This window comes from Homo sapiens, chromosome 3, assembly GCF_000001405.40.
Source record: "Homo sapiens chromosome 3, GRCh38.p14 Primary Assembly".
NCBI classification, from domain to species: domain Eukaryota; kingdom Metazoa; phylum Chordata; class Mammalia; order Primates; family Hominidae; genus Homo; species Homo sapiens.
In genome coordinates this window covers 68,307,219-68,319,664 of record NC_000003.12, presented here as the reverse complement: position 1 = coordinate 68,319,664, position 12,446 = coordinate 68,307,219, and the positions used below count along the sequence as shown (strand labels likewise).

Below are 12,446 nucleotides of genomic sequence, written 5' to 3'. Positions count from 1 at the left end.
CAAAGCCAAGAATGAATTTAACTTAGTCAAAGTCCTAAGTGGTAACAATGGCAAACAACAGCAATGCGTATCCATGTGACAACATTGGACAAAACTTGAGCAATAAGCCATTCGGGCAGGGTTTCTCAACTTTGCAGTATTGATATTTTGGACTCAATAATTATTCGCTGGGGATGAGGATTGCTCTGTGTAATGTAGGATGCATCCCTGGCTTCTACCCACTAGATGCCAGTAAGCCTCTTCCCTGCCACCCCCAACCAAGCATCAGTCATGACAACCATGTCTCTGCTATTGTCAAATGTCCCTGGGGTGGGGGAATGATGAAGGAAGGGGGCAAAATAGCCCCTGGTTGAGAATCGCTGTTCTAGAGATTTGTATTTCTCACTCACATTATCCTTGGTTGTGACTGTTCTCTATTTTGTTTGAAGTAATTCAAATTTTAGCTTTAAACATCACACACACTGAACTGTATTCTACTAGTGTAGAAGTAATATCCAAGGATCAAATCTCTTTGTGGGATTAAATATTTTTATAACTATCTCTTTTATGTCCTTAAGGTGAACCAAATTATAGTCTTAATATGCCAAATAGGACCCAAGATACCTCAAGTACATTGTGAAAGGAATATATTTGCTGAGGACAGCAGAGGAGAAAGAGAAAGAATCATTTCTAAATAAAATGCTGACTTCTGAGTTATCTGCATTAAGGTAATTTTAAAAAAAATGGATGTTTATTAGTGTTATGAATTCTGTTTCTAGTTATGAATTTAACTATTGGGATCTATTTCTTTTATTAGTAGGTATATTACACAGTGCTTTTTTATTGAAGAGGACATGATTCAGAGGGTTTAAATTCAATTATTTTTCAGGTAAATAAGCCTACTTAGACCAGATTACTTTAAAATCTTTTAAGTAATCATAAGGAAAGAACTAGGTTTCATGTTTTCATGTAACTTAACTTTCTCAAACAGTATAAGAGATTTATCCTCTTCTATCACTTGTAATAAAGACTGGAAACAAAGTAATTTAAACACTCAAAGAAGAAGAAAAACATAACAAGAAATCAAAACAATTTAAGATTTGATGGACGGTCAGGAGAGCTGGATTCTGGTCAAGACTGTAGGAATGCACTGCAGTGCAACCTAAGCTTTGTCATTTCTGTGGGTTTCCATTCCTCAGCAGAAAGACATTCAAGCTTGGCGACTTTAAAGATCCCTTATACCTGAAGGATCTATGATTCTATTAATAAATGTCTGTCTAACATATTACCCTCCTTTAGATTTAGGGCCTTCCAATTTCTGCATATAATGACTTCAAGGATATTCAAATATTTTCCATAAAACTCAATCATCAAAGAGGCCATCCTTGATAGCCAGGAGAGGGAGAAGCATATGGTGCATCCCATCCCTTGAGCCGAGGTGTGTCACCATTAGAAGGGCACAATTTGCCTTGGTATTGGTGGTTTCATCACCAGAGAGCTAAATCAGTCTCAGTGTGTGAATGTCTGTACATGTATGTAAATTTCTATCTTACTGACAAACTGGTTGGCAACACATGTACTATAAAACTAACAGAACATTATAATTCTATTAAAATTATAGAATTTTAATAGACAGCTGCCCTGTCCCCAGCTGGCAGCACCACAGTGAGTTTGGCAGACGACTTGGCCACCCCTGATTCTGATGTGTTTGGTACCAAACACATTGCAAAGCGTTGGATTTCAAGGCTGTGGGAAGGATAATTTACAGGCTCCCAGGCACTTGTTCACATCTGTACTCATCAGCAAGTGTCTCTAAAACCTGGACAAGTACAACATTAAATAATAAATAAAAACAGCAAATATAAAAACCACCTCGACAGATCCAGAAGAGAGAGAGACTACAGAAGAAAGAATGAAGTTTTAATTTGAGTAACTTTAATTGTACTTTCCCCCCTACTTTTTGAATAAAGTCATCCCATTTTCATTTAGCACTGGGCCTGTGAATGATGTAGCTGGTCCTGTAATCAATAATTATTAAGCATCTGGCATATTCCAGGGACCATGATAGGTACAGGGGACCTGACAGGAGGCAAAACAGAGCACACTTTAGCCTGCAGGGAGTTTTCAATGATTTCACTTTCTTTGACCAATGGGATGTGGGTGGAAGTGTTGTGTGTCACTTCCTTATAGGCATTTTAAGAGCCAGCCCATAGCTCACCAGGTCTCTTTACCTTCTGTTGCAGTGGCTGGCAATGTTCTATATGAAAGTTGGTTCTTTAGCCTTAGATTTAGGAAGGAAGGCAACATGGAGAAAAGCTACAGCTGACATATGGCCTAAGTAAGATGGTTGTGGCAACTTGGTTGTGGCAAGTGACTGAGATAGGAGTTGTCTGTTAATGCAGCATACTACCAACAGTTGATAACCTTTCACTTGAAGAAAGGGGTCTCTGTAAAATCTTCGGAAAGGCAGGACCTATAAACACATAATATCCATCATTATATCCAGAAAACAACAATCTTTTAAATGACGCATTGGAACTCTTTTTCCTAATACTCAATTACCATTCCCTTCCACAACTCATTGCCAAATTATTGACCCTTCAATTAATATGTATTTAGTTTGACTTACTTTTTGTCTTATCCTGTACCAGCTATTCTAAATATTAAGTTGCTTCTGAGTCACTCATATACTGCTATCAAAAAAATGAATGAATGCAATTCATTGCATTGAAAAAAATAGAGTCAGAAATAATGGAGGCATTGGGCTATTTTTGTCATTAACCAAAACACTTTAGAAATATTTATTCATTATGCTGTCTCTACTTTTTCTTCATATATTAGAAAAGTAGACCAAGAAGTAACCAAATCCACTGAATTCAAATATTAACACACAGTTCAACTTCACCAACTCATTCAACACCTATTCATTGAGACCTACTATGTGGCAGACACTGTTGTATGTCTGGCATGAATCCCCTGGTACCTAGTATAGCATCAGGCATGTACAAAGTGGTCAATAAATATTTGTTATAAAAATTGGAATCTAATGAATTCAGAATTCACTCAAACCAGCTCATAAAAACTAAAAGGTTTTTATTATGTTTTCTGGACCCATTACTTTCCTTTGTCTGAAAGGAGATGCCAAGAAAAAAGAGAGAAAAAGCCCGGACCACTGCAAGTTAGCACCTAAAAGGCAGAACATTATGAAAAGCCCGAACAACATTATAAACACATTATTCTGCAGAAGATTTAAATCTAAAGCTACATGAAACTGTATTGGTTAAGAATTACTTCTATTTCCTTTTTTTACCTGAGGGTATATCCTCAGATATTTTAGGACAGGTAAATTTTCCAAGCCATTCTAAATTTATTTAACCAGTTCATTTCTAAGGGAGGGAGTCCTCCCCAGTGGACTGAACCTCCTCCTCACCCCCTGGGTATTATCCAGTTTTGTCAACTTCACAACTCAGGCAGTAAAAAATGCACATTTGAAATAAACTATTTCATTATGTGCATTCGTACAGTTATGGAACAAAACAGCCTTTACTCAGCTTAGGCCAGTGAATCCCTCATTTAATTACAACTGGAAAGGTTAGAAACTTTTTATCATGCACACATATTCTCTGGGAATTATCTGGCTCTGAAATATAATTAATCACCCTCTGTCATGCTTTCATTATATGCAGGGCCCTCCAGAGCCACTGCTTTCTTCTTTCTTCATTCATATTCCTCTGACCTTCCTCTTCACAGACCTCAGGTGAATTTCATCGACTGCCCAGAAATGACTGGATATTGTTAAACCCATTTGTCAACCACATTATCAGTTCACAAACATGAAATCTCTGCATATGTTTAGCCTTTTCCATATATAGCAGCCCAAGTATTAACATGGAAGGCATCTGTCAATGTTGACAAAAATTAAATTTCAAAACTACTGTAAATAATAAAGCAGTCATATAAAGATTATTTCTCTGGAGCATAAGCTACTAGTAAACACAATTTGCATAGTGTGCTTACAGCTGTTTCAACATGAGATGTTTGCTGTGCTTCATTAAAATGATTTGATTTGTCAGATTCTAGGATAGTCAAAAGTCTATATAAAGAACTATATAAGGAACTTTAGTGACATTTTTGATTTTTAAAGCTAGGCACATATGGCATAGGAGGAATAAAGTGAACCGAGTAATGTATCTTTAGGAGAATTTTTAGGGTGTGAAGGTGGGGAAATACACCATTAGCTCAATTCCAAAACTATTTCCGCGCCCCAGCAAAGCCATTAACACTTTCCATGCACAACTTAATGGAGGTAGAACGGCCATTCCCAAAGCAAGCTGAGAGGACATGATGTCCTTCCACACCAACAACTGAACATGACAGAATCAAGCATGTACTTGGTAACTAAGCATGTCTCGGACAAGTTTTCTGTGGAATTGATATAATTGGAAAATTCTATAACTTTCCTCTTTTGTCCATATCCAGTCAGAAAGCATAAAATCTAATTGCTCAGTGGGACTGGAAAAGGGCATGTGAATTGGCATTCTCTCTTCCAGGAAGAGAAGAGCTAACCTTTCTTAGAAAAATGGTTGGGGCCTCTGTTTCTTCATGATTTCCACAGGAGAATATTCCATGAGCCTTTACTTATTGAAGTTCTCTTTAACAGAGAAGAAAGTCTTTATTTTGTGTCTAGTTGATGATTTTCTTAATATATTTTCTTTTTCTCTTATTCAATGTTATATAGTGATAAATATTAATATTATATATAATATTTATAAGAATATATCAATATGTGTATAAATATCTTATGACCGAAGAATAACTATGGTAAGTCAATCTTTAGCTAACTTTCTCAAACTATGGACCTGAAAATTCCTTTAAACATAATTTATGATCTTTTTCGTCCTGAAGCTCCTCCTGTTTCATTAAGATGGGGAAGCTGGGCTGAGCATCTCTCACCACAGGTTATACATGTAAAAAGAATGTTTAAGATTTCATATATAAAAGCACTTGCTAAATGCACTTACAAATAAAGCACTAGTATCAGTGAAAAGGCGACTTATTCATTGACTAGTAGCCATCACAAATCATGATATTGCGTATGTGTAGACACACAAATATGTGTACTATATAGTGATACTTTGTCAAAAAGCAATCCCATCAAAAGAAAAATTTGTCAATCATTTTTATCTTATCTAATGATGTATATTTGACAACAATCTGTGGAACATTAATAGCAGGAGAATCTGTGTGTAGGGAACTGAGGAAGTGACAGGAATGATTATGTGTTGGTGGCATGACTTTGCTGTAACTCTGTAGCAAAGTGGCAGATATTAATTCCCTTTATGAATAAGTCTCCAAATAAAGCTCAGTTCTGAACATACAATTAACTCTATGGACAGGAACAGGTGTTCCAATACGAATTTAATTTTTGAAAAAGTACACTTACCTATGCATTCACAGGTCAACTATCGCTACCTAATTGGACCAGGTGTTCAATACAAAGGGTAGTTTCCTCCTAAAGATTTTTCATAGACTACCATAGGAAAAACAACAACCAAACACTAACTGAACAAAATCCTAAAGCCTAGCCAAATAAACAAGAACGATGGGAGCCATCTTAATCCTATTCAAGGGTATACTTAGATATTTACCTTTAGGCAGAATAATGGCATGAAAATTGTTTCTTGGATTAATGTTGAAAAAAAAGGATTCCTTTTTACAGTTCTACTTATTTTTATAATCAAACATGTAAGGGATATTTGATATCTGCAGGCTAATATTCATACCCACTTCTTAAAATAAAATTAAAACACACATTTCTCCACTTCTAGCTTCTATGGAAATTGACTTTAACTCCAGGGCCTGAGAGTGAGGCAAGGGCCATCAGAATAATTCAAGTTCCAGTAATAGTGATTGATTTAGGCAAACAACACAAGTCCATCCAGTTAGGGCCAAAGAGAGTGAGGATTAGGGCTTTTATTTTCTGTACTCTTTTCAGGAGAGGTGCATACCATTGTCCAGGTGTACACTGCAGAAAGATAATACATCTGAGGGGATACAATTCATATTGATACATCTTCATTATTTTGACTTTTTTCTTATTTTATCAGAACTTTGTCAACTCCAGCATACATGGTTTCCATATTTATTTGAACAACTTTGCGGGGGTAGATGATGCTTAAATATCTTGTTCTAAGAAAATCAGCACATTTGGACAATTTTCAAACAGATGAAAGTAAAGACTGTTCTTTTACAAGGTATATGCAGATCATTATGCTTGGACATGGGATAGACAAGTTTAAGAATCAAGACTGCACCTATCTAGCATCTAGGACGACAAAAAATAGCCCATGATTTGAAGTAAGGAGTTTAAATAGATAGGTTTTAGAATGCAAGACAATGTTACACTTTCAAAACTATTTGCTTTCAAATGTAATTGTTTACTGTTAATTTGGTATAATGTTTTAAGCAACATTAATGTTATAAGCAACATGATGAGAAATATGGTTTGGCTTTGTGTCCCCGCCCAAATCTCATCTTGTAGCTCCCATATTTCCCATGTGTTGTGGGAGGACCATGTGGGAAATGATTATTCATGGGATCAAGTCTTTCCCATTCTTTTCTCATGATAGTGTATGGGTCTCATGAGATCTGACGACTTTAAAAATCGGAGTCTCCCTGCACAAGCTCTCTTTTTTGCCTGCCACCACCCATGTAAGATATGACTTGCTCGTTTTTCTCTTCCACCATAATTGTGAGGCTTCCCCAGCCATGTGGAACTGTAAGTCAAATTAAACCTCTTTCTTTTGTAAATTACCTAGTCTCAGGTATGTCTTCATCAGCAGCATGAAAATGGACTAATACAATAAATTGTTACCATGAGTGGGGTGCTGATGAAAAGATACCTGAAAATGTGGAAGAGACTTTCAAACTGGGTAACAGGCAGAGGTTGGAACAGTTTAGAGGTTTCAGAATAAGACAGGAAAATGTGGGAAAGTTTGGAACTTCCTAGAGACTTGCTGAATGGCTTTTCCCAAAATGCTCATAGTGATATGGACAATAAAGTCCAGAATGAGGTGGTATCAGATGGAGATGAAGAACTTGTTGGGAACTGAAGTAAAGATGATTCTTCCTATGTTTTAGCAAAGAGACTAGTGACATTTTGTCCCTGAGCTAGAGATTTGTGGAACTTTGAACCTGAGAGAGATGGTTTAGGGTATCTGGTGGAAAAAATTTCTAAGCAGCAAAGCCTTCAAGAGGTGACTTGGGTGCCATTAAAGGCATTCAGATTTATAAGGAAAGCAAAGCATAAAAGTTCAGAAAATTTACAGTCTGTCAATGTGATAGAAAAGAAAATCCCATTTTCTGGGGAGAAATCCAAGCCTGCTGGAGAATTTTGCATAAGTAATGAGGAGCCAAAGGTTAATCCTCAAGACAATGAGAAAAATGTCTCCAGGGCAGCCCCTCCTATCACAGGCCCGAAGGCCTAGGAGGAAAAAGTGGTTCTGGTGGGCTGGGCCCAGGATCCCCGTGCTGTGTGCAGCCTAGGGACTTGATGCCGTGCATCACAGCTGCTCCAGCCATGGCTGAAAGGGGTCAACGTAGAACTCAGGTCATGGCTTCAGAGGGTGGAAGCTGCAAGCCTTGGCAGCTTCCACACGGTGTTGAGCCTGTCAGGGCACAGAAGTCAATAACTGGGGTTTGGGAACCTCCATCTACATTTCAGATGTATGGAAATGCCTGGATGCCTAGGCAGAAGTTTGCTGCAGGGGCATGCCCCTCATGGAGAACCTCTGCTAGGGTAGTGTGGAAGGGAAATGTAGGGTCACAGCTCCACACAGAGTCCCTAGTGGGGCACTCCTAGTGGAGCTGTGAGAAGAGGGCCACCGTCCTCCAGACCCCAGAATGGCAGATCCACCAACAGCTTGCACCCTGCACCTGAAAAACCCACAGACACTCAACAACAGTTTCTGAAAGCAGCCAGAAGGGAGGCTGTATTCTGTGAAGCCACAGGGGTGAAGCTGCCCAAGACCATGGGAACCCACCTCTTGCATCAGTGTGACCTGAATGTGAGACATGGAGTCAAAGGAGATCATTTTGGAGCTTTAAGATTTGACTGCCCTGCTGGATTTTGGATTTGTATGGGGCTTGTAGCCCCTTTGTTTTGGCCAATTTCTCCCATTTGGATGGTTGTATTTATCCAATGCCTGTACCCCCATTGTATCTAGGAAGTAACTACCTTGTTTTTGATTTTACAGGTTCATAGGTGGAAGGGAGTTGGCTTGTCTCAGATAAGACTTTGGACTATGGACTTTTGAGTAAATGCTGAAATGAATTGACACTTTCGGAGACTGTTGGGAAGGCATGATTGGTTTTGATGAAATTTGAGAGAGGCCAGGGGCAGAATGATATGGTTTGGCTCTGTGTCCCCACCCAAATCTCATCTTGTAGCTCCCATAATTCCCACGTTTTATGGGAGGGACCCAGTGGGACACGATTGAATCATGGCAGTGGGGAGTAGGTCTCTCCTGTGCTGTTCTCTTGATAGTGAATGGGTCTCATGAGATCTGACAGTTTTAAAAATGGGAGTCTCCCTGCACAAGCTCTCTTTTTGCCTGCCACCATCCATGTAAGTTGTGATTTGATCCTCCTTGCCTTCCACCATGATTGTGAGGCCTCCCCAGCCATGTGGAACTGTAAGTCCAATTAAACCTCTTTCTTTTTAAATTGCCCAGGCTCGGGTGTGTCTTTATCAGCAGCATGAAAATGGACTAATATAATAAGCAACCAAAATTTAGCATACGTAAACACTTGACAGCACTAAAAAAAAATTCTCTGAATAAAAATGAAGCAATATTTTAAAAACCACACAATTGAAACTAAATAAATTTCACTATCTTTTAGCATTAACATTGGCTTCTCCAGAATAGAAAATATTAGACTCATTTCAAATATAAACAGCATGATTATTTCAAATATAAACAGCATGATTATATTGATCATAGAAATTATCCAGAACTAAATTTTAAAATGAATTTCTTTTTTCACTATATTTATCATTAACATATATCACCTTTAAGATTCAAGTTTATGATAGTGTTTATATGAATTATAATTTGAAAAGTTGTAATGAATATGAATATGAACTACTTCAACAATATAAACTATAAATTGGAAATTTACCAAGGAATATAGTCATGTGATACTGGGGGAACATCAGGAACATGAGGAACTAAAACTTATACATAGTTTTCTTAGATTTAGAACATCTCTTGTTGAAGTACTGAAATATTCATGGCAATAATTCACCAGAAAAAATTACAAACACTTTTATTTAAAAATATTTAGGGTATACTTGACTTAGCTGATACTGGTAATTGAGAAGCCGAGACCTTTGCTTCTAAAAATTAAACAAAAACTACTTAAGATCTCCATTCCTACTAGAAAAAGTGGTGAAGTCTATGGTTTGGTTATTGGTACAAGTAAGCTTTTAAAGTATCATAATTTGTTTTCCTGAAAAAAAGACATGAAATTTTTACGTAACATCTAATATGAGTGTACTTGAATCTTAAAAATTTACATATTCTACTATATTACTTCTAACAGTATGATTTGTATAATTTTGTAGAGTAGCTTATATAAGTTTCAATAATTATTGATAAATTAATCATAAACTAACTTTGGAAATTTCCTCGAGAAAGGGTTACCTTTTGCAATTTGCACAAAAGTGCCATGTGGGCTGGCAGTAGTCTTTACTACTGGGGAAGCAAACTTCCTCCTTCCCACTGACATAAAGGAATATATAATCCCTGCAGCTGCTAGAACTAACATCCTGCCATATTAACACCAAGGAAGTGAAGTATGAAAATCAAGAGAGAACCTGGGTTCTGGTGACATGATTTGAGGACCATGTTGAGCCCCCTTTGAAGCCATCCTTCCCATCTGTTCAACTCTGTGGGCCAATACATTTACTTATTTTATATTTTTGCTCAAGTAAGTTTAGGTGGCAGCTTCTGCCACTGCCAACAAAATCCTAAATGATACAAATCCTGAGAAAATTATTCATGCACAAATAGCTATTTCCAACATCCAAATAGAAAAGTGCTAGTAGGTAAATCTGTATTTGGGTCTCTCAGTGTAAATATTCTGGGCTTCTTCCAATATTTGTGCCCAATGTCTAATTACATGGCTTTGTAATAGGATAGACATGGGTTAAATTTTCTCTTGGCTATTTATTAGTGCTGTGGTACAAAGTTCGTGTTAGTATTAAATGAGGTAAGAGGTATAATACCTTGATTATTGTAGGTGTTCAGTAAGTGACAATAATTATTATAGCTTATTTCTTCCTTATCCCTTCAAGGTACTAGATATCTTTGGGCATATTATAATTGATTATTATTTCACTTTTGTATTTTATAATTCATTATTGTATTCAGAAAATATGTCTTGGACACCTATCGTATGCTTTGTATGTTCTAGACTAAGGATCCAGTGGTAAACAGAATAGACAAATATTTCACTTTTACAGAGCTTTCAGGGTTGTGGGATTCAGAGTACCAGGGGTAAGGTAAACCTTGAATTAGGAAGACTTTTGAGCTCAGATATAAGTGATGAGGAAGAATTAGCAATGTGCAGATCTGTGATGAGAGCATTCCAGATCAAGGGTAAGGTTTCTGAAGCAGGAACCAGCTTGGCTTCTAGGGATGTGAAGCAACTGGTATAACGGTAACATACTGGAGAAGCAAGGTGATAAAGATTGGAGCAGTAGGAAGGAAGAAGATCATTCAAGCTGTGTAGGCTAGAATATTAAATTAAGATACTATTCCAGTGAAACCAAAGCTTTCCAACTACCTGCTACTTTTAGGTGAGTGAGTGAGTGTGTGTGTGTTTGTGTGTATGAGATGGGACAAGCTATTCACCACTTTGTAATAGCATCTCTTTCTCTGTGTCATTAATAAGCATATGATCAAAATAAATGAGCATTATATTCCTGATGAAATCATTTGATGAGAATGACAAATTTTCCATGCAAGTGTAAAGGAGGAGGATGATGAAAACAACCTCATTATTGTTGACTATAAAGTGCATTATGTAGTTTTACATGAACAAAGTAGTAAATAAGAAGCCTTTTTTTTGTGGCTCCAGTGGTGCAATTGGTTAGCATGTGGTACTTATAAGAAGCTTTTGTCCCTCTGAATTGTTTGTTATAAAGGCATCAACTTACTAAGCCATCTATTCTGGGTAATAGACCTGTACAAGAGATAGCAAATTCACTAAGACAGGTAACAGGTAGTATAGGGAAGAAATAGTAGTAGCAAAAGTGTTTCTAATTTATTATAAAATGAATACAAATAACTTTTAATAAAACTAAAATGAAAGAGCAATAGCTTACAGTATGACCACTCCAGGGGTGATAGCATTTTAATGAAGACAGAATGCAACAGATAAAGTGAAATTTTGGATGTCAAGCAGTGTATATAAGACAATTACCTTCAGTATAAAGCCTTCTGGGGTCCTCTGAATTCATACAATATTATTGGCTTATAAATCATAGGTTTTTAGCACATGAATGCTCCATCATTTTGAGGCTCCTTTTCAAATTAGGAAGTAAAATTTTCATTATGTCACCCGATTTATTACTATGCTTGGCATTTTGGGGAGTGATTACACATATTTATTCAACACTTGGCAATAGTAAAAATGAGCATTTTTGTCTTAAAAATATATAATAATTTCAGAACACTTAAGAAGGCTTAAACAGTCATATTAGAAACCAGTGAGGTAACAAGGGCAGTTATGAGTCTCTTGCACACTGATTAGCCATTTCTTATGCATCTTTACATATAACTAATCCTGACCTCAGCTCACCTTCTCACATGGAGCTCACCCCTTATGTCTTTCTAGTTCTTGGAACCCACCTTCTCATGAATACTTAAACTCTCCAGATGAAACTAATATGCTAAATCAAGAAAGGAGTCTAGAGAACTTTAAATCTCCAGTTTTTTCAAGTGCCTTGCCCTGTGCAGCTAAACGAAAGTAACAATCACATAGTAGAGATAAAATATAAATATTGTTTCCAAAAAAAAGTAGAGGCAAATCTTTAATAAAACCACAAATAAGAACTGGACAAAGCCATATATACAGTAAGTTTGAAAAAATTAACATGTCATATTATTCATGTATGTAGTTAAGTGTTACTGCTGAATGTAGATGTTACTGATCCAAATATCAGATGGCTGGATGTGTAGAATTTGGAGCTAGTCTGTATTTATATACCTGGTGATTACTTTACCTATAAGACCACTCTAGACCAGCAATGGGATGCTAGAAAAAATATATTTGAACTATCTCTTTCTCATTTTGAATCCCAAGATTGAGCAAATAATTCTTATTTAAGTTAATAAAATAATTTCCAACTTTCGAAAAATGAGGTACAAATAAACACTCTAAGTAACTTTTTTCATCATTGT

At 36.7% G+C, this 12,446-nt stretch overlaps 1 protein-coding gene and 1 long non-coding RNA gene across 8 annotated transcripts in view; both read right to left on the bottom strand.

Moving 5' to 3' along the window:
* The window catches only part of TAFA1 (TAFA chemokine like family member 1), a 554,078-nt gene that overhangs the window by 225,957 nt on the left and 315,675 nt on the right, over positions 1 to 12,446 (bottom strand). The window lies entirely within an intron of this gene.
* The window catches only part of LOC107986019 (uncharacterized), a 72,345-nt gene continuing 60,601 nt past the window's right edge, over positions 703 to 12,446 (bottom strand). Inside the window, exon 4 of the long non-coding RNA XR_001740445.1 lies at positions 703 to 2,452. This is a non-coding gene — a long non-coding RNA (uncharacterized LOC107986019). The remainder of the gene's footprint in view (positions 2,453 to 12,446) is intronic.